The sequence below is a fragment of the Homo sapiens genome, chromosome X (genome assembly GCF_000001405.40).
Source record: "Homo sapiens chromosome X, GRCh38.p14 Primary Assembly".
Classification (NCBI taxonomy): Eukaryota; Metazoa; Chordata; class Mammalia; order Primates; family Hominidae; genus Homo; species Homo sapiens.
Genome location: NC_000023.11, coordinates 48268521 through 48292159, shown reverse-complemented (window position 1 = coordinate 48292159; position 23639 = coordinate 48268521). Strand labels below are relative to the sequence as shown.

Genomic DNA, 23639 nt, shown 5'->3' with positions numbered 1-23639 from the left:
GAAAGTGACAGGCTGGGTGCGGTGGCTCACGCCTGTAATCCCAGCACTTTGGGAGACTGAGGCGGGTGGATCAACTGAGTTCGAGACCAGCCTGGGCGAGATGGTGAACCCCCTTCTGTACTAAAGATACAATAAAATTAAAAAATTAGCTGGGCATTGGTGGTGCGCGCCTGTAGTCCCAGCTACTAGGGCAGCTGAGGCGGGAGGATCATTTGAACTCGGGAGGCGGAGATTGCAGTGAGTCGAGATCGCACCACTGCACTCCAGCCCGGGCGACAGAGACTCTATCTCTAAATAAAAAAGATAAAGAAAAAAAGAAAATTCACTTCACAGGCAACAGATAGTTATAAAAGGATACTTTATGGATGATTTCATAGGGGAAAATGATGGAAAGAAAGGATATATATATATATATATATATATATATATATATATATATAACAGAGCTGAGCAATTCACTGGAACAATCACCAGAACTGCCTTTTTCTCCAAAAATAGTACCCCTAAGCTATACTACTACTGGTTCTTCTAGTCCTTCCCTCTATTCCACATCCTCAAATTGTCCATTTTCTTATTGGGATAATTTTCCTCTGCCCAGATCTGGGTCCTCCACAACACTTAGCACTCTCTTCGAGTGTTTGCATGCCCATTGTTTTAGCTCAGGTTCCCAAGGAAACAGAATTTGGGCCATACAGGACACCTCTAGACAGACTATACTGAGAAACAATGCCTCCTGGAATGGTGCATGGGGAGAGGAGAGGAGAGGGAATTACGTTCCTGACTCTCACTCCTGGTTCCTTTTCTTATTGGTCAAAATTTACCCCACAGGTGCGAACTCCCCTACACTTCTAGATTGCATCAACTGCCCCTTTGACAGCTGTCTAGGAAGCCAGATCCCACACTTGGAAGTGTAGTGTTTCATACAATCCAAAAGTGTTAGCAGAGGCCAGGCGTGGTGGCTCACACCTGTAATCCCAGCACTGTGGGAGGCCAAGACAGGCGGATTATGAGGTCAGGAGTTCGAGACCATCCTGGCCAGCATGGTGAAACCCCGTCTCTACTAAAAATACAGAAATTAGTTGGGCATGATGGTACATACATGTAATCCCAGCTACTCGGGAGGCTGAGGAAGGAGAATCGCTGGACCCTGGGGGGCAGAGGTTGCAATGAGCTGGGATTGCACCAATGCACTCCAGCCTGGGCAACAGAGGGAGACTCCCTCTCAAAAACAAACAAACAAGAAAAAGCCAAACAAACAATAAAAAGTCGTAGCAGAAACCAGAAATTTCAGGTGTGTGGCTAACTGGCCTGGTTGTACAGCAACAGCCAAGGATGAAAACTAAATATTCCCAGGCAAGTCCTAAGTTCACCAAGTATTTGGAGTACCCATCTGTGCTAGTTAACTGCCCTTATCTGAAGGAAAAATAAAACTCATATCTCTATGACAAGCAGGTGCTTACAGTTTGGAGCAAGTCACCTAGGCTAAACTCCCCTGGTGACAGGGAAACAAGGAAATCATCTTCCTCGATGTTCACATTTCAAAGAGATGGCTCCAAGGCCTTGAAGAAAGACATTTCTAGGGACTGGGCGTGGTGGCTCATGCCTGTAATCCCAACACTTTGGGAGGCTGAGGCTGGAGGATCACTTGAGGCCTGGAGTTCAAGTTCAAGACATTCCTGGGTTATAGGGTGGACAGAGGCTTACAGATCAAAGGAAGAATTTACAAATACAAATTTTCTCAAGGAAATGCTCTAAGGAAGGTGAAATGGAGAAAGGTTTCTTCTTCCCTTTAGGCAACAGGAAAAATTCAATTTTATGTTTCGTTACCCTTACAATTTCCCCCTTTTCTTATTCTTTTATAGTAACACTACAATTTTCTAATTATCTCCACTGCTGTTTCTAACTTTCTCTGCATAGTTTACAGCCACCTAAATATCCAACAAGTCCATAGTAAAATGCACAGCAAAGCAATTATCAAGATTATAATAGAATGCTTTTTTTTTTTCGGGACAGAGTTTCTCTCTTGTTGCCCAGGCTGGAGTGCAACGGTGCGATGTCGGCTCACTGCAACCTCTGTCTCCTGAGTTCAAGCGATTCTCCTGTCTCAGCCTCCCAAGTAGCTGGGATTACAGGCATGCGCCACCAGGCCCAGCTAATTTTGTATTTTTTGTAGATATGGGGTTTCACCATTTTAGCCAGGCTGGTTTTGAACTCCTCACCCCAGGTGATCCACCCACCTCGGCCTCCCAAAGTGTTAGGATTACAGACATGAGCCACCATGCCTGTTCTAGAATGAATTTTTAAATTCAGTATAATACTCACCTTGTCAGGGGACGGGGCGACCTTTAAACACATCATACTGGTTAATTGTGTTAAAGTCAAAATAAATTATAGAGACAAATCCTAAATCAAATGCTGTATTTGGGAATCACAAAATTGCAATCCAGGGCATATACAAGGACTGGGGTGGTCTTCAGTATGTCCAACGAACACAGAGAAGCTGGAAGTTTTATTAGAAAGAAAAGTGTTACATATTGTTTTGAAATGAGTCGCATTGGCACTGGAGAAGCTGGTTCATTTGCACAATCAGCTTTCACATTCCCTCTTTTCAACAACACCTTTCTTTCAAAACCTCACTGATCAACCATCTTAAAGTGAGGCTTCATTGTCACTCCATGCCAGGTTTGCCTGGAGTTCAGCATCAAGTTCCATGTTATTAGTCCCATCTGTATTAGCAATCATCTTGACTCACTGGGCTAACATTATCCTGTTAGGAGAACTGGCTTAACAAATATTAGACAGGCAACAAGAATGGAGCTCAAAGATCATAATATCAAAATAAGTAGCAATTGTTTTATTTTATTTTATTTTGATGGATTCTTGCTTTGTCTCCCAGGCTGAAGTGCAGTGGCGTGATCCCGGCTCAATGCAACCTCCATCTCCTGAGTTCAAGAGATTCTCCTGCCTCAGCCTCCCGAGTAGCTGGGATTACATTTGCTTACAACCATGCCTGGCTAATTTTTGTATTTTCAGTAGAGACAGGGTTTCACCATGTTGGCCAGGCTGGTCTCGCACTCCTGATCTCAAGTGATCCGCCCTCCTTGGCATCCCAAAGTGCTGGGATTACAGGCGTGAGCCACCGCACCCAGCTATAATTAGCAATAGTATAATAAATTTAGTTTGTACAATGGTTTTGAACCAAGATCCCAAGACTGAGGTAAACACCAGCTAAACAAATTAAAAGACTATGGGGGAAGTGAATGAGACCTCTTGTAGTCTTTGAGTAGCATTTTAGGACTGGGTTGAATTAAAGCAGAGTGCCAACTCTATAAAAGGGACCACTAGGTGAAGGAAAGGATTTGGGGGTTAGGTTCTGTCAAGGGAAAAATGTAGACATTAAGGGGATAAGAGTCTCATTATGATATGAAGACTTATTCTGATGTCTTCGGAAAATCTGTCTACAGTGTGGAAATATCATCTCCTCACCCTGATTTGTCTTTGGAATGTCTCTGGTTATGGCATTGGATAGTTTGGTGAACTTTTTGTGTGGTCCATACATCAGGCACGAGACTTGTTCCTTAAAATTTATGCACTTTTATCTTATAAGACTTATAAATCAAAAATAAAATCCTAAGCCCCCTGCCCCCCACCATCTGAATGGATGTCCTCCTAAGCCAGGGCTCTTTTAAAATTTAACCTGAGAGACGGTTTCAGGCCATGACAGGAAGTGTAGGTCAGGAATGCCTCATTATATCTCTCTGGCATCAACATCAACACAGACTTGTTGGATCACCAGGACTTGCGGATCACGAGGTCAGGAGATCCACACCATCCTGGCTAACACAGTGAAATCCGGTCTCTACTAAAAATGCAAAAAAGTAGCCCGGCATGGTGGCATGGGCCTGTAGTCTCAGCTACTCGGGAGGCTCAGTCAGGAGAATTGCTTGAACCCGGGAGCCGGAGGCTGCAGTGAGCGGAGAAGGAGCCACTGCACTCTAGCCTGGCAACATAGTGACTCTGTCTCAAAAAACACCAAACAAACAAAAAGTTACAACCTGTTCTCTCTGAAGCATAGTACCTGAAGGCTTCCTCTGCAAATAAGAACTTAAAAAACAACTAAGAATGACTCACTTCACATAATAAACTTTCACAATGGTTAAAGCAGAGTCCTGCTTAGCAATGCACAAAAATTCTCCTTTGTGATCCATTCATTTTACTTCTGTTGACTTTCTTGCTTATGCTTTCACACAGAGACACTCTCCTTTGACCAAACTTGAGTCAGGCTCCTCTGAGTCCTGTTTCTGACTAGGTCCCAACCTCGGGCTCTGTCCTTCATCCAGGGACTCTGCCCATTTAGCCTGTTTCACCAAAATCCTGTCAAATCAGTTTATCCAGAATCCCCCTGCACACCTGAGATTTCCTCCAAGTAATTTCCCATCTTCTGACCCCCGGCTCCTACTCCCTGACTACAAATCCCCACTTGTCCTTGGTGGAGTTGAAGTCGATCCCAATATCACTCTCCCACCGCAAGACCCCATTGCAGTTGTCCCTGTGCCTATCACAGTAGTTCCCGCTCTGAGTAAAGTCGTCCTTACGATCTTTTTTTTTTATTTTCAGAGACAAAGTCTCACTCTGTCTCTCAGGCTGGAGTGCAGTGACACAATCCTAGCTCACTGCAGCCTCAAACTCCAGGGCTCAAGCAATCTTCCTGTCCCAGCCTCCCAAGTAGCTGGGACTATAGGTACACACTACCAAATCCAGCTATTTTTAAAAAAAATTCTCTACAGACCCAGGAACTTGATGTGCCTGTCTAATTTTTGTATTTTTTTGTAGAGACGGGGTTTCGCCATGTTGCCCAGGCTGGTCTTGAATTCCTGGGCTCAACGAACCCTCTTGCCTTGGATTCCCAAAGTGCTGGGATTACAGGCATGAGCCACTGCAGATGGCCCTTCCTTACCGTCTTTAACAATTGCAATAAATACTTGTTTGCTTTAACATTTCCCTGTGTCTTCGATCTCCTGAAGTGTTATATGCCTGACATTGCCTTACTCCACCAAATATAAAAATTCCTTTCTTTCGCTGGGTGCAGTGGCTTACCCCTATAATCCCAGCACATTGGGAGGCCAAGGCAGGCAGATCACCTCAGGTCAGGAGTTCGAGATCAGCCTGGCCAACATGGCGAAACCCCATCTCTACTAACTTTGCACTAAAAGTACAAAAATTAGCCAGGTGTGGTGGTGTGTGCCTGTAGCCCCAGCTACTCAGGAGGCTGAGGAGAATCGCTTGAAACTGGGAGGCAGAGGTTACAGTGAGCCGAGATCATGCCACTGCACTTGAGCCTGGGTGACAAAGCTAGACTCTGTCTCAAAAAAAAAAGAAAACAAATTCCTTTCGTTCAACAGTTTGGAGTTATTACACTATTGTATCCTTGCCTCCAGTGTGGTGTTTGAGAGGCCTGATGAAGGTTTAAATATTTTTCCTTTGTAAGTAACCTGCTGTTTCTCTCAGATCATTTAAAAAATATTTTTTCTTTGTCTTTCACAATTTTTCATTTCACTGTTCCTGTGTGTGTGTATGTGTGTGTGTACGAAGATCCCTTTAAATCTTAAGACATTTGTCTAAATCTGAGAAATTCTCACTCATTACTTGTTTAAGTACACTCTCCTTTTTAATGACTATATTCTTCTCTTATAAGGCTACTATTAGATGTGTTTCGACTTCATTCTTTTTTTTTTTTATATGGAGACGGAGTCTTGCTCTTTCGCCCAGGCTGGAGTGCAGTGACTCGATCTTGACTCACTGCACCTCTGCCTCCTCCTGAGTCCAAGCAATTTTCCTGCCTCAGTCCCTTGAGTAGCTGGGACCACAGGCGTGTGACACTATGCCTGACTAATTTTTGTATTTTTGTAGAGACGAGGCTTCACCATGTTGGCCAGGCTGGTCTCCAACTCCTGATCACAGGTGAGCTGCCTGCATCAGCCTCCCAAGGTGCTGGGATTACAGGTGTGAGCCACCATGCCCGGCCTTTTATTTTTATTTATTTATTTATTTATTTTTAGACAGTTTCACTGTTGTTGCCCAGGCTGAAGTGCAATGGTGTGATCTCACCTCACTGCAACCTCCGCCTCCCAGGTTCAAGTGATTCTCCTGCCCCAACCTGCTGAGTAGCTGGGGTTACAGGTGTGCACAACCACACCGGGCTAATTTTTGTATTTGCAGTTGAGATGAGGTTTCACCATGTTGGCCAGGCTGGTCTCTAACTCCTGACCTCAGGTGATCTGCCTGCCTTGGCCTCCCAAAGTGCTGGGATTACAGGTGTGAGCCATGGCGCCCGACCCGGTCTTTCTATTTTCTATCTCTGGAACTTCTTTTTTTTTCTTTTCTTTTCCTTTCTTTTTTCTTTCTTTTCTTTTTTTTTTTTTTGAGTCAGAGTCTAGCGCTGTTGCCCAGGTTGGAGTACAGTGGCACGATCTCGGCTCACTGCAACCTCCGCCTCCCAAGTCCAAGTGATTCTCCTGCCTCAGCACCGCTAGTAGCTAGGATTACAGGCATGTGCCACCATGCCTGGCTAATTTTTGTATTTTTAGTGGAGATGGGGTTTCACCACATTGGCCAGGATGGCCTCAAGCTCGTGACCTCAGGTGATCCGCCCACCTCGGCCTCCCAAAGTGCTGGGATTACAGGCGTGAGCCACTGCGCCTGGCCTATCTCTGGAGCTTCTATTGGACGAATGTTGAAACTTTTGGGTTCTATTCTCCATTTCCTTTATTATTTTTCTTTCGTACTTTCTATTTCGTAATCCTTTTCTGCTATACGGTGAAGTAGTGCCATGCCTGAACACATTTTCTCATTGGGTTGTTCCAGTTTCTCTTATAGATAGGCAAAAGCTTTGTTGTATATTAGAGATGGTTACTCTTAATTTATTGGGGATGCTTCACCAATTTCCCCAACATTTGCCTTTTTAAACAGTTGTTTATGGTGTCTTTTGAATTAGATGATACTTTAATTTTTACATCTTTATGTCAGATTCATTGTTCATAGCCTTGGTGTAATGTCAGGAAGTTCCTATGCCAACTCAAGGTGTCTTACACTGTAATATTTTCCTAAATTTTCATCTAGTTCTTTATGATTTCAGGTTTTCACATTTAAGTCACTGAATTTTTAGAATTTATTATTTTATGTGCTTCAAAGTAAGGACTTAATCTTTATTTTTTCAAATGGATAGACGCTTGTCAAGCAGTCATATATTATACAACCCATCATCTTTTGCCCACTGTTTGGAAATGCATGCTGAAGTTTGCATACAGATTAGTCTGTTTCTTGACCTTCTATTTTGTTTCGCTATTAAATGTTTCTGTGTGTATTCATTCTTGATTGCTGCTGTAACAAATTTTCAATAGCTTAGACAATGCCGAGCATGGTTGCTCACGCCTGTAATCCCAGCACTTTGGGAAGCCGATACGGGTGGATTGCTTGAGGTCAGGAGTTAAAGACCAGCCTGGCCAACATGGCGAAACCCCCCCTCTACTAAAAATACAAAAATTAGCCAGGCGTGGTGGCACACAGCTGAAATCCCAGCTACTTGGGAGGCTGAGACAGGAGAATCACTTGAACCAGAGGTTGTAGTGAGCCGAGATCACCCCACTGCGCTCCAGCTTGGGCAACACAAGTGAGACTGCATCTCACAATATATATATGTAGCTAAGACAATTTTTGGAAAAGAAGAATAAGGTGGGAGGAATGGCTCTACCATATTTCAATACTTCTTATATAGCTACAGGAATCAAGACTGTGTAGTATTGAGAGAAGGATAGACACATAGATCACGGGAACAAAATAGAGAACCTAGAAATAGCCCCACACTGATTTTTTTTACGAAGAGACAAAATAAGGAAGTATTGTCTGCTTAACATATGGTGCTAGAGCAGTTTCATATCCACAGGCCAAAAAAAAAAAAAAAAAAAAAAAGGCCTAATCTTCTTACCTTTATACAAAAAAAAAAAAAAAAAAAACTCAAGTGGATCATAGACTTAAATCTAAAATATAAAACTAAAAAAAGACTTTTACAAGAAAGCATAGGAGAAACATCTGAGATCTAGGGCATAGTGAACAGTTCAAAAAGCATAATCCATAAGGAAAACAAATAAATTGGATTGCATCCCATTTAAAAGTTTTGCTCTACAAGAAATCTTGTTAAAATGATGAAAAAAAGGGTATGACCTGGGGGAAATGTTTGCAAACCACATATCTAAGAAAGGACTCACATCCAGAATATATAATGGATATGTATAGTACTCTCAAAACTCACCGGTAGGCTGAGCATGGTGGCTCAGGCTTGTAATCCCAGCACATTGAAAGGTCGAGGTCGACGGAGGGCAGATCCCTTGAGGCCAGGAGTTCGAGACCAGCCTGGGCAACATGGCAAAATACCATCTCTACTGAAAATAAAAAATTAGACAGGCATGATGATGCCTGCCTGTAATCCCAGCTACTCGGGAGGCTGAGGCATGAGAATCACTTGAACCTGGGAGGTGGAGGTTGGAGTGAGCCAAGATCATTCCCTGCACCCCAGCCTGGGTAACAGAGTGAGACTCTTTCTCAAGAAAAATAATAATAATAATAAGAAGAATAAACCTCAATGGTAAAAAATATAAACAAATAATCCAATTAGAAAATCATGAAAAGATGTGAACATTTCACTGAAGAAGGAATAAGCAAATAAGCACATGAAAAGATGTTCAACACTCATTTGCTTCATTGGATGCAAATTAAGACCACAATGAGGTATCACTACACACTTATTACAATAGCTAAAATAAAAGACATAGTGACAACATAGTCACCAAATGGTGACAAGGATGCAGAGAAACTGGACAGTTCATTTAGTGCTGCTGGGAAGGTAAAATCTTACAGCCACTCTGGAAAGCAGTTTGGTAGTTTCTTATAAGACTAAACATGCAATTACCATACAATTCAACAATTACACTTCAGAGAAATTAAAATGTATGTCCATCCAGAAACCTGTACATAATTGTTCATAGCAGCTTTACTTGTAATAGCCAAAAGCTGGAAATAATCAATATGTCCTGCAATAAGCGAATGGTAGAACTGTGGTACATCCATACCATGGAATACTACTCAGTAATAAAAATGAACTATTTACTGGCCCCAGTGTCTCCCATAGGTAATCCCAGCACTTTGGGAGGCCGAGGCGGGTGGATCACGACATCGGGAGTTCAAAACCAGACTTGCCAATATGTTGAAACCGCGTTTCTACGACTAATACAAAAATTACCAGGGTGTGGTGGCGCACGCCTGTAGTCACAGCTACTTGGGAGGCTGAGGCAGGAAAATCACTTGAACCCAGGAGGCAGAGGTTGCAGTGAGCCGAGATCATGCCACTGGACTCCAGCCTGGGCGACAGAGCGAGACTCTGTTTCAACAACAACAACAATGAACTATTGATACACAAATATTAATATCTTGGAGGAATCTCCATGGAATTATGCTGAGTGAAATAAGCCCCTAAAACGTTATATACTACAAGATTTCATTTGTACAACATTCTAGAAAAGACAAAATTGTGGAAATGAAAAACAGATTAGAGGTTGCCAGGGGTTAGGGGTGGTAGATGGGAGAAGAGTGAGTATTACTAAAAATGAGTAGCACAAGGGATAGCATTGTGGTGATGGAAATGTTCTGTACCTCGTTTTCCTTTTTTTTTTTTTCCTCCTAAGGGGATTCTCAGTCTGTCACCTAGGGTGGAGTGAAGTGGCACAATCTCAGCTCACTGCAACATCTGCCTCCCAGGTTCAAGTGATTCTCCTGTCTCGGCCTCCCATGTAGCTAGGACTACAGGCACCCACCAACTCGCCTAGCTAATTTTTGTATTTTTAGTAGAGACTGGGTTTCTCCATGTTGGCCAGGCTGGTCTCAAACTCCTGACCTCAAGTGATCTGCCCACCTCGCCCTCCCAAAATGCTGGGATTACAAGCATGAACCACTGCACCCAGCCATGTTCTGCACATCAAAATACTTTCACTGAATAGAGATGCCTTTACATTCTCTTACTTATGTTACAAAGCAAAAGGCAGGTTCAAAAATGTTGTTCTATTATATATCAACTGAGAAAAACATAGATTTTTGTATCAACTGAAAAACACATATATTCCAGAAAAAGGTTTTGAAGACACATGGGAGTGGAATGTGCCCGCATTAAGAGCAGAGCTTTTACAGGACCACCTGTCTCCAGCCGGCTCCCAGGGACCAGTGAAAACAGCTGCTACCCTCAGAATGACAAGATGGTCTTGTTATTGATTTCACTGGACTCTCGAATCTCATCCTCCTTGACCACCAGCAGAGGCGAAACCTGATGATGTCACCATGGGTTGGCTTGGCCAGAAGCCCATAATCTGGAAGTTGTAGACATACCTTCCAAGCATCACAATCTTTGGTTTCTTTAATAACAATAGAAATTAATAATTATTTTCCTCCTGGGTAGAGTGGATCACGCCTGTAATCCCAACATTTTGGGAGGCCGAGGCGGGTGCATCACCTGAGTTCTGGAGTTCGAGATCAGCCTGACCAACATGGTGAAACCCCATCTCTACTAAAAATTCAAAAATTAGCTGGGAATAGGGGCACGTGCCTGTAATCCCAGCTACTCAGGAGGCTGAGGCAGGAGAATGGCTTGAACCCAGGAGGCGGAGGTTGCAGTGAGCCAAGATCGTGGCATTGCACTGCAGCCTGGGCAACCAGAGTGAACCTCTGACTCAAAAAAATAAATAAATGAATACATAAAATAATCATTTTCCTCTTACCGCAGTCACAGCATCAGAAGGTAGCTTCATGGGTTCATTTCTCAAGATAATACCCTTGAGATAAAAACCTTGCATTTTCAGCAAGGTTTTCTTCTTCTAAAACCTCAAGGGCTGCGATGGTCACTCAGCAGCCTAGTGGATTGCCACCGTATGTGGACCCACGTTCCCCTGGCTTAATGGTCAGCATTATGTCATCATCCCACAGCACTGCAGACACAAGAGTGTCAGCCCCCAGAAAGGGCCTTTCCAAGCAGGTCTATATCAGGTCTGACATTTTCATGATCAACAGCCAGCCATCTACCAGTTCTGGCCAATCCTATCTGTATTTCATCAGCAATGAACAGAACCAAGCTAGGAGCACGAGACGGGACCAGGATAACTTAAAATACCACAAAGCTTACTGTTCTTATGGAGAGTCAGCTGGTCGCCCTTCCCTTCCCTTCCCTTCCCTTCCCTTCCCTTCCCTTCCCTTCCCTTCCCTTCCCTTCCCTTCCCTTCCCTTCCCTTCCCTTCCCTTCCCTTCCCTTCCCCTCCCCTCCCCTCCCCTCCCCTCCCCTCCCCTCCCCTCCCCTCCCCTCCCCTCCCCTCCCTTCCCTTCCCTTTTTCCTTTCCTTTCCTTTTTCCTTTCCTCCTCCTTTCCTTTTTCCTTTCCTTTCTTTCGTGTATTTATTTATTTGACAGTCTTGCTCTGTCGCCCAAGCTGGAGTGCAGTGGTGTGATCTCAGCTCAATGCAACCTCCGATTCCTGGGTTCAAATCATTGAGTGAGCCCAGGAGGTCAGGACCAGCCTGGGAAAAACAGCAAAAGGCAGGGTGGTGCATGCCTGTAGACCCAAGGCCGAGGCCGGAGGATCGCTTGAGCCCAGGAGGTAGAGAACAGCCTGGACAACATAGCAAAACTGTCTCTACTAGAAAAATTAAAAATATTAGTGGGGGCTAGGTGGTGTGAGCCTGTAGTCCCAAGGCCGATGGGGGAGGATTGCTTGAGTCCAGGAGGTCGAGGCCAGCCTGGGCAACATAGCGAAACCCCATTTCTAATAACAAGAACAACAAAAAAATAGCGTGGGCGGGGTGGCTCACCCCTGCAGGTCCCAGGCCAAAGTGGGAGGATTGCTTGAGCCCAGGAGGTCGATACCAGCCTGACCAACATAGCGAAAGCCTGCCTCTCCGAAAAAAAAATGAAAATAAAAAAATAAATAAATAAAATAAAAATGAGCAAGGCAGAATGGCACACGCCTGTAGTCCTGAGGCCGAGGTAAAAACATCACTTGAGTCCAGGAGATTGAGACCAGCCTGGGCAACATAGCAAAATCCGGTTTCTACTAAAAATGAAACAAACAAACAAACAAACAAACAAATAAAGCATGGGCCAGGTGGCACATACCAGTAGTCCTGAGGCAGTGGCAGAAGGAGCCCTTGAACCCAGGACGTTGAGGCCAGCCTGGTTAACATAGCGAAACATGGTTTCTATTAAAAAAAAAAAAATCATGGGCAGGTTGGTGCACGCCTGTAGTCCCAAGGCTGCAGCGGGAGGATCCCTTGAGCCCAGGACGTCGAGACCAGCCTGACCAACATAGTGAAACCGTCTCTATTAAAAAATCAAAAACCAAAAAATATGAGTGGGGGTGGGGTGGTTCGTGCCTGTAGTTGTGAGACCGAGGCGGGAGGATTGGCCAAGGTGGATGTAACCAATACCACAATCATATCCCATAAGTAAATACATTTTTGTCTCTCCAGGGCTACAGGTAAAGGATGGTAATTGTGCACACCACACTTAGATTCCCTTTCAAAAATGTAAGCAGAGGTTGGAGGGCCTTGGACTGTTTTTTCAGTTGCAACAGATATAGAAGCCACTGAAGAATGAAAGCCACGACTAAGTACAGCAAAGCTCTGCAAATGTGCTAGTTTGGAAAACATTGTGTCTTTCAAGTAGAAAAATCACAGATCCGACTATTTTTTTCTTCTCGCTGTTCAGACTAGAATCCAGATGTTTAACACAAGATCCAGGGGAGGTCTTTGGAGAGATCAAAATCTCCTGACTCTGTCGCAATGGCAACAAAGTGTGGCTGGAGGAGGAGACAATATTGTGCAATGTCACTGCTCAAGGATGATGGACCAATCAGGGCAGTTAGTGAACTTCATCTGGCCAATCAGAAGTCAGAACAGTAGGCGGGAGGAACGAAGCTGATGTGGCGTCTATCAGTCCCGCCTCCAGGGACAGAACCTTCTCAAACTGGGGGCGGAGACTCTGATTTTCCCGCCTAAAGCATCCCCAGGGATTGGCTACTTTAAGTGCAGAGTACGCATGCTCTGCCTTTCTCTCTCTTTCCATTCTTCTGCAGAGTACACACGCTCTGATTTTCTCTTTTGATTCTTCCAAAATCAGAGTAAGCATACACTGGTTTTCTTTTTCCATTCTTCCTACCCCTCCTCTCCTCTGCGGTGCATTTGTTATCTAGTTTTAATAAGGAGTGTATGTGAGGCAGGTCGCCATCTCAAATCCTTCTTGTCAGTTTCTAACTTTTTCAGGTATGGGATTTTTCCTGGGAACTCTGTAGTAACTTAAGAAATTTGGGCTGGGCACAGTGGCTCACGCTTGTAATCCCTGCACTTTTGGAGGCCACAGCTGGTGGATTGCTTGAACCCACGAGGCAAAGGTTGCAGTGAGCCAAGATCATGCCATTGCACCCCAGCCTGGGCAACAGAGCAAGACTATGTATCAGAAAAAAAAAAAGCTCACTCAAATCTTTCCTCCTGGGCTCAAGTGATCCTCTCACCTAGGCCTTGAGACTACAGGCACACGCCACCCCGCTTCTGCTAAGGTGTTTCTTCTTTTTTTTCTTTCTTTTTTTTGTTTTTTTTTTAGTAGAGATGGTTTCGCTATGTTGGCCAGGCTGGTCTCAAGCTCCTGGGCTCAAGCTATCTGCCCACCTTGGCCTCCCAAAGTGCTGGGATGGTACAGGCCTGCGCCACCACCCCCAGCTAATTTTTTGTAGACACGGGAGTTTTGCTCTGTTTCCCAGCCTGATCTCGACCTCCTGGGCTCAAGCGATCTGCACGCCTCGGCCTCCCAAAGTGCTGGGATTACAGGTGAGAGTCACTGCGCCTGGCTGAATGCTACATCTTGAAACGCCCCCACATTCTCTCTAAGTGTTGGTGGGCTCTTGTAGGCTCAGAAATTCTAGCTCTCTTCCTTCTAATAATTTAAAAATCACCCAGTAATAGCCTCTAAATTCATTCATAGTAGCAATGCTCATTTCTCTTCAAAAGAACAGAAACCCCCATCCTTCTGCCTGATCAGATCCATCACCAGAGAGACCACGTTATGTCTGGGACTCACATCCCTTCCTCTATTTATTGAGTGGGGGTGTCAGAACGCCCCCACTCAATAAAATTGCACAGTCAGGTCCCTGCCTTCCCAAACAAGGGTCTGTACATCTTTCAGGGTAAGCCTGGCCCCAGGGAAACTACTAACAACATTAGCCAACCCCCTCCCAAAGACTCAAGGCTGCTTTGCCCATAGGAAACCTGTCATCCCCGATCAATACTTCTCCCAGAGACCCCTGGTTCCCTGTTTTCATCTGATTTCTCCCCATGTCCTTACTCAGGGACAGATAAGCCCCGGATGGAGAAATGCAGCACCTGATTCGAGGTGACTGAGTGTGGCCGGACTTCACTGATTTCTCCCTCCACAGGACCAAAGGTCTTGAGCCTGGAAAGTCTCAGGCAGTTTCTCTTGCAGGTCAGACTGCTCCCGGTGCCATGAATGGAGACGACGCCTTTGCAAGGAGACCCAGGGTTGATGCTCAAATACCAGAGAAGATACAAAAGGTGAGGTGACCTGGAGGAGATACAGTAGTGGCCCAGGGACAGTGTGGGGTGACCCGGTTTCTGAGGAGGGGAGGACAGAGGTACTGGGGACAAGGAGCAGGGTCTCAGGGGAGATCTGGACCCTTGGGAGCCTCCCACCCTCGCTCTGTCATCATCTAGCATCCCTGGAGACAAGTCTCTGACCTTGCACTACATTTGGTGACTCTCAGTCCATTCTGGATGGTGGGAAGAGAGCCAGACAGCAGCATTAAAGCTCTACTGTGTGGCAGGGGAGAAGCTAGGGTAGGCCCCCCATGTTCTGTCAGTTAGCCATGGCATCAACCAGGACGGATTATCATCCCCAATTCCCAGATCCAGCACACAGGAAGTGGCTCCAGCTGAATGGCAGACATGCCTAGCTGAGTCCCTGCCATAATTCCTTTTTTTTTTGTAGGCCTTCGATGATATTGCCAAATACTTCTCTAAGGAAGAGTGGGAAAAGATGAAAGCCTCAGAGAAAATCCTCTATGTGTATATGAAGAGAAAGTATGAGGCCATGACTAAACTAGGTAACAGAAAGTTCTAGGAACAGACAAGTCTGGGGACACATGAGCATCCCTTTTCCAGCTCTGGCTACTTCTTAGGCTGCAGAAAGTATTACAGACATGAGCCACCATACCAGGCCCAAGCTTGTCTCTTAAGGAATAAACATTTTGCTTCTTTCTAGGTTTCAAGGCAACCCTCCCACCTTTCATGTGTAATAAACGGACCGCAGACTTCCAGGGGAATGATTTTGATAATGACTATAACCATGGGCATCAGGGTGAGTAGATGGGAAGGGGCTGGATAGGGTCTCATCAAGCCCAACTGCTTTTCAGCTCAGCTACCTGGGAAAGATCCTCAGGCGTTTGTTCCCTCATACACATCAGGGCTGAGTGAAAAAAAAGTTGCATACAGAAAGTTAACTACACTAATTAGGTTTCTTCTTGCTTAGGAAAACTGAGCTTTGAAAGGGTTAAGTTTTTAAGTCTGTGTAACTTTCTGTATTGCTTTTGAAGTCTGTTGACTATAACTCTGGTTAAATGAGTGACTATTATTTCACAGTGACCCGTGATCCTGTTTTGAACAAGTGTTTTGAGCCTTTTAACATCTTTGACAAACTTCCCCAAAATCCAATTCTTTTTTATTTATCTATTGCTGTCGAACAAACTAATCAAATTCTAATTTAAGTCTTTTTAACCTAAAATTGAGTGAGATTTACCAGTGAGGCCCCCGGAGAGCCTCAAAGAATGTGTCTCTCATTAGGCTTATTTGATATGTTAGATGATATGAAAAGCAATTTCAAATAATAAAATACACTAATTGCTGTTTACATTTATATAAATATGTTATTGATGTTAATGTTCTGAAGATCATATAAATTTTACAGAGCTCTGATGGTCCTGGTATGATGCTATCAGTCATGATTCTGGTTCTTATCTTAAAATGTTCTACATAATAGAAATAATTGAATTTTTTCTCAATTATGGACCTTTGATCAGATCTTAATCATTGCTATTCTAAGCTGTATCATCTACAGTGTTGATTCTTCTCTAAATGTATCCAGAATCAGATTCATAAAAAAGATTTTAACAAGTACTATTGAATATAGATTTGTAATAACTTTCAGATAAATGAACTAAATAATTCTTGAAAACTCTAATGAAAACTGATGGGTTCATGCACCTGATCATCAAGATCAAGCAGAACAAAATTACATGAGGCTAAATAACTGATGTTTTTATGACCTTTATTTAAAACTTTATTTATTCTTCAGCTAGGCACAGTGGCTCACACCTGTAATCCTAGCATTCTCAGAGGCCAAGACAGAAGGATCCCTTGAGTGCAGGACTTCAAGACAAACCTGGGCAACATAGGAGACCTGGTTTCTAAAAGAAATTAAGAAAAAAAGCTTTGTTTTTTACTTAAATGTTTGGTTTTGCACATTTAATAAAATTTTCTGGTGGGGTGTGGTGGCTCACTTTGGAAGCCAAGGCAGGAGGATTTCTTGAGCCCAGGAGTTCAAGACAAGTCTGGACAACATGGCAAAACCCTGTCTCAAAAAAAAAAAATTAGCTGGGCATGGTGGCATGCACCTGTGGTCCCAGCTACTTGGGAGGCCGAGGTGGGAGGATCACTTGAGTCAGGATGCAGAGGTTGCAGGGAGCCATGTTTGCACCACTGCACTCCAGCCTGTGCAACAGGGCACAAACCTTTCTCAAAAAATGAAAAAAAAAAGAGAAAATTTCCTCTGTTAAACTGTCTATAGTTTATAACAATTTGGTAAAGTGTACTTTTGTAAACTAAGATGGAAAGATTTGCTTTTTCTTTCTGCTCGATTCCTCCAGAATTTGAAACTATTTGGAAATATTCTTACGGCAGTATGGTTATTTACACAGGTCCAGTAAAAACCTGCTCTTGGTGTCTCATTCAACTCCAACATGGCAAAAATCTCCAGCCCTACAGAGAGTCCGATTGCTGTTTTCCAGAAATAGGCTGGAAAGGATGGTTACAATAGCATTCACTCCAAGACAGAGTTCCCAAGCTTCATGAATAGAGAACTAGATGCCTTCACGAAGAACCAGAGGCCCCAGTGTCTTTGACCACATGATGAAGAAACTGGACCTCACTAGTGATGGGCAGTTAGATTTCCAAGAATGTCTGCATCTGATGGATGGCATGACTGTGGCTTACCATGACTCTTTTCTCAAGGCTGCCCATTCCAAGAAGCAGATCTGAGGATCCCCTGGGCCTGGTTTCCAAGCCACCCCCTTTCCTTCCAGCCTCACCATCACCATCTGCTCACAGCCCACACATACCCTGGGCCCAGCACACCCACCACCTCATGCAGGCCCTGCCTGCAGGTAGTAATAAAACCATTCCTTCCTGCCTGCAGCTTCCCACTCAGTAATAAAACCATTCCTTCCTGCCTGCAGCTTCCCACTCCCTCTCCCCCCTTCTCCTCCTCCCCCTCCCCTCCTCTGCCCTGTCTTCTCCTCCCCTCCTTTCCTCTCTTCCCTTCTCTCAAGCACACCTACCACCTCATGCAGGTAGTAATAAAACCATACTTTACTTTTCTTTTCTCTTTATTTTCTTTTTCTTTTTTTTTTTTTTTCAGAGATGGGGGTCTAGTTATGTTTCCCAGGCTGATCTTGAACTCCTGGGCTCAAGTACTCTCCCAAAGTTCTGGGATTATAGGTGTGAGCCATTGCACCTGGCCCACTTTTTTTTTAACACACACAAAAAAATCTGCTCTCTCTTTATAGACGGATACAATTAAAAACATTGGTTATAGGGCCAGGCACGATGGCTCACACCTGTTATCCCAGCACTTTGGGAGGCTGAGGTGGGCAGATCACTTGAGATCAGGAGTTTGAGACCAGCCTGGCCAACACGGTGAAACCACATCTCTACTAAAAATACAAAAATATGTAGCAGGGCTTCGTGGCACACATCTTTAATCCTGGCTACTCAGGAGGCTGACACAGGAGAATTGCTTGAACCCAGGAGGTGGAGGTTGCGGTGAGCCGGGATCATGCCACTGCACTTCATCCTGGGCGACAGAGCAAGACTCCATTGCAATAAAATAAAACAAACAAAAAAAAAGATTGCTAATTATTTTTGTATTATGATCTTTGAGCTCTGTTCTTGTTGCCTGTCTAATATTTGTTCAGCCAGTTCTCCCAACAGGATAATGTTGGCCTAGTGCTTCAAGATGAATGCTAATATAGATGGAACTAATAAGATGCTGAACTCCAAACAAACATGCCTGATTTTTTTTTCCTTCTGGCCTCTTTGTGGCTCAAATGTGGCCCATGTTCCTGATATAGACTCCCTTACCTTTCCCTTGACATGGGACAAAGACAACCGGCACAGGTCCATCCTGGCATGGAGTGACAATGAAGCCTCACTTTAAGATGGCTGATCAGTGAGGTTTTGAAAGAAAGATCTTCATCAAAAGAGGGAATTTTAAAACTGATTGTGCAAATGAACCAGCTTCTCCAGGGCCAGTGAGCCTCATTTCAAAACAATATGTAACATTTTTCTTTCCGATAAAGCTTCCAACTTCTGTTTGTTCGTTGGACATACTGAAGACCACCCCAGTCCGTGTATATGCCCTGAATTGCAATTTTGTGATTCCCAAATACAGCATTTGATTTAGGAATTTGTCTCTATAATTTATTTTGTCTTTGACACAATTAACCACTATGATGTGTTGAATGGTCGCCCCGCCCCCTGACGAGGTGAGTATTACACTGAATTTAAAAATTCATTCTAGACCGGGCATGGTGGCTCACGTCTGTAATCCTCACACTTTGGGAGGCCGAGGTGGGCGGATCACCTGGGGTGAGGAGTTCATGTCCATCCTGGCTAACATGGTGAAACCCCATCTCTACAAAAAATACAAAGTTAGCTGGGCTTCATGGTGCATGCCTGTAATCCCAGCTACTTGGGAGGCTGAGGAAGGAAAATCGCTTGAACTCAGGAGACAGAGGTTGCAGCGAGCTGAGATCGCACCATTGCATTCCAGCCTGGGCAATGAGAGTGAAACTCTGTCCCGAAAAAAAAAAGTCATTCTATTATAATCCTGATAATTGCTTTGCTTTGCATCTTACTATGGACTTGTTGGATATCTATGTGGCTGTACACTACCCAGAGAAAGATAGAAACAGCAGTGGAGATAATTAGAAAATTGTAATGTTACTATAAAAGAATAACAAAAGGGGGAAATTGTAAGGTTAACTACACATAAAATTGAGATTTTCCTGTTGCCAAAAGGGAAGAAGAGACCTTTTCCCATTTCCCTTTCCCTAGAGCATTTCCTTCAGAAAATTTGTATTGGTAAATTCTTCCTTTGATATGTAAGCCTCTGGCCCCATATATCCCAGGAATGTCTTCGACTTGAACTCCAGGCCTCAAGTGATACTCCAGCCTCAGCCTCCCAAAGTGTTGGAATTACAGGTGTGAGCCACCATGACCAGTCCCTAGAAAGGTCTTTCTTCAGGGCCTTGAGCCATCTCTTTGAAACGTGAACATTGAGGAAGATGACGTCCCAGTCTCCCTGTCACCAGGGGAGTTTGCCTAGGTGCCTTTCTCCAAGCTCTAAGCACCTGCTTGTCATAGAGATATGAGTTTTATTTTTCCTTCAGATAAAGGCAATTAACTAGCACAGATGGGTACTCCAATTCCTTGGTGAACTTAGAACTTGTCTGGGAGTATTTAGTTTTCACCCTTGGCTGCTGCTATACAACCAGGCCAATTAGCTACATACATGGACTTTCTGGTTTCTGCTACCACTTTTTTGATTGTTTGTTTGTTTGTTTTGTTTTGTTTTTCAGATGGAGTCTTGCTCTGTCGCCCAGGCTGAAGTGCCGTGGTGCGATCTCAGCTCACTGCAACCTCTGCTTCCCAGGGTCAAGCGATTCTCCTGCCTCAGCCTCCCGAGTAGCTGAGATTACAGGTGTGTGCCACCATGCCGGGCTAATTTTTGTATTTTTAGTAGAGACTGGGTTTCACCATGCTCGCCAGGCTAGACTCAAACTCCTGACCTCATGAACTTCCTGCCTTGGCATCCCAAAGTGATGGGATTACAGGCGTGAGCCACCACACCTGGCCTCTAGGACCACTTTTGGTTTCTATGAAACACTACACTTCAAAGTGTGGGATCTGGCTTCCAAGACAGCTGTGAAAGGGGCAGATGATGCAATCTAGAAGTGTGGGGGAGTTCATGCCTATGGGGTAAATTTTGACCAATTAAAAAAAAAAAAACCATGAGTGAGAGCCAGGTACGTAAATTCCCTCTCCTCTCCCCATGCACCGTTCCAAGCATGGCTTCTCAGTATAGTCTGTCTAGAGGTGTCCTGTATGGCCCAAAGCCTGTTTCCTTGGGAACCTGAGCTAAAATAATGGGAATTCACACACTCGCAGACAGTGTTAAGTGTGGTGGAGGACCCAGATCTGGGCAGAGGAAAATTACCCCAATAAGGAAATGGACAATTTGAGGATTTGGAATAGAGAAAAGGACTAGAAGAACCAGTAGTAGAATAGCTTATGGGTAGCATTTTTGGAGAAAAAGGCAGTTCTGGTGATTTTTGCAGTGAACTGCTCAGCTCTGTAAAATGTATACTTCCTTTCTTTCCATCAGTCTCCCCTATGAAATCTTCCATAAATTATCCTTTTATAACTATCTATTGCCGGTGAAGTGAATTTTCTTTTTTTCTTTTTCTTTTTATTTAGAGATAGAGTTTCTGTCCACGAGGCTGGAGTGCAGTGGTGCCACCTTGGCTCACTGCGATCTCCGCCTCCCGAGTTCAAATGATCCTCCCGCCTCAGCTGCCCTAGTAGCTGGGACTACAGGCGTGCACCACCAATGCCCGGCTAATTTTTTTTTTTTTTTTGTATTTTTAGTAGAGATGGGGTTTTACCATCTTGGCCAGGCTGGTCTCGAAATCCTGACCTCAGTTGATCCACACACCTCGGCCTCCCTAAGTGCTGGGATTACAGGTGTGAGCCACCACACTCAGCCTGTCAGTTTTGTTTTGAAGAATAAAATAGATTGAGTCTTGTGCCAAAATACAGGGGAAGCTGTACCCAGACAGGTAACAAAATATTATTAACAATAATAGATAGGGTTTCTACATGCCAATAATAGCCATTTAGAAAACCAAATTGAGAAAAATTACACTTATATTGTGACAAAAAATACATGAAATATCTAATAACAGATGATTGGAGCAAGATGGCAGCTAGATCCCGTGCCCCACTCAACGTTCCATCAAACTAGGAAGAAAATGTTTTCAAGGGTCAATCCTTAACAGTAGAGGAAAATAGGAAAACGTGTCAGTGGTCCACCAGATATATTGAGGCATTCCTGGGAGATAGAGTAGATGGGATCAGACTGACAGAGAAACCCGAGGAGACAAGACCACAGCTCAAATCACTGTAGGCGAGAGATGCTGTTTGTTTTTTGAGACAGGGACTTACTCTGTCGCCCAGGCTGGAGTACAGTGGCGTGATCTCGGCTCACTGCACGGTGTATCTCCCGGGTTCAAGTGATTCTCATGCCTCAGCCCCCGCAGTAACTGGAATTCACCGGTGCCCACCACCATGGCCGGCTAATTTTTGTATTTGTGGTAGAGGCAGGGTTTTTGCAATGTAGGCCAGGTTGGTCTCGAACTCCTCACCTCAAGTGATCTGCCTGCCTCGGCCTCCCAAAGTGCTGGGAATACAGCGTGAGTCACTGCGCCCAGTCAGGAGATGTTCTTTGTAGGAAAGCTTCTGAAAAACTCCAAACCCATAATCAAAAAAACATGGAGCGAGAAAGGGCCTTAGGGTAATCATCAGGTAGGTTAATTTAAAAGTTCATTTGAAACGTCTGAACCAGCCAGATTCCCCTCCGACACAACACTCAGATTGGCTGGCAGTAGCCACTTTTGCCTCTAAGATGAAACTCTGATAATTGTTCATTAAAGAAAGCGAAGGCCTGGCGAGGTGGCTCACACTTGTCATCTTAACACTTTGGGAGGCTGAGGCAGGAGGATTGCCTGAAGCCAGTAGATAGAGACCAGCCTGGGCAATATAGTGGGATCCTGTCTCTACAGAAAATACAAAAATTAGCTGGGTGTGGTGGCAAGTGCCTGTAGTCCCAGGTAGTTCGTAAGCTGAAGTAGGAGAATCCCTTGAGCCTGGGAGATCGAAGCTGCAGTGAGCTGAAATTGCAGAACTGCACTCCAACCTGGGAGACAGAGTGCGATCCTGTCTCAAAAAAAATAAAAAAATAAAAAATAAAATATAAAAAAACACAGACATAAAAAAGTAATGCATCACTGGGCGCACTAGCTCACGCATGTAATCCCAGCACTTTGGGACGCTGAGGCCATCAGATCACGAGGCCAGAAGATCAACCTGGCTGACACAGTGAAACCCCGTTTCTACTAAAAATATAAAAAATTAGTTGGGAATGGTGGCACGCGCCTGTGTTCCCAGCGACTCTGGAGATTGAGGCAGGAGAATCGCTTGAACCTGGTAGGCAGAGGTTGCAGGGAGCCGACATCTCACCACTGCATTCCAGCCTGGACAACAGAGCGAGACTCTGTCTCAAAAAAAAAAAAAAGTAATGTATCAGGACTTGGTGTATCTTCGGCACTTCACAGTAATAATGAAGGAAAGAAACACATTTGTGGAGAGGGGACCATGTTCACTCTTTATCTATCCATGATAGACAGTCGGGAGCTTTATATACCCAAGAAACCTAAGGAAAAATGTTCCCTGTCATGACTCACACTCTTCCAGTCACCCTTCCTGGCACCTGTCTTGTGGGCTGGGGGACCCAACTTATGGATCCCATCATCCCAGGGAGAAAGAAAAACCAAATCCTTCAGTATCTCTTTTTGGGTATCCTCTCCTCTGTTTGCATGGAGGATAAGGCACCTGATATCTAGTAGCCGAATGTTACATTTGTGTAATACAGAACTATATTGGGATAAAATAGAATTTGTTTCCTCTGAGACACAGGTAGAGGCACGTCCACACTGACCTGGGGGGCAGCCACCTCTTCCTGCAGTGCCAGGCAGGGCGTGCTCACAGATCTGGGGAACCTCTGTTGCTCCTGGAGCCCCACAACCTCCTTCCTGGCACCCTCTCCCTCTGGTGGCTGTGACAGCCCACACTTGGTCTTGGGTATCCCCTGCTTCTTTGCCTGCCCCTCTTCTCCCTACGCTGCACATCTCTGTCTCCCACTGTCCCACTATGTCCACGATTGCCTCTTCCTCCCTGCACTCTCCATCTCTAAGGGTTCCTTGTCTTGGAAAATGAACCCACAGCCTCTACCTTGTGACGGGACAGAACCCGGGACTTGTTCAGTTCTCCCTTCCTCCACCACACACACCTGTCCTCCTTAATGTTTCTGAAGTCAGTGAGCTCCAAACTCAGCTCCTCCTGCACCTGCCAGCTGTAGGACCTGTGACAAGAC

General features: G+C 44.6%; 4 pseudogenes; 2 read left to right on the top strand and 2 right to left on the bottom strand.

Annotated features, from left to right (window-relative positions):
* LOC791091 (ornithine aminotransferase pseudogene) lies at positions 10022-12770 on the bottom strand (annotated as a pseudogene).
* SSXP8 (SSX family pseudogene 8) lies at positions 12809-15568 on the bottom strand (annotated as a pseudogene).
* SSX18P (SSX family member 18, pseudogene) lies at positions 14562-15456 on the top strand (annotated as a pseudogene).
* S100A11P6 (S100A11 pseudogene 6) lies at positions 17110-17745 on the top strand (annotated as a pseudogene).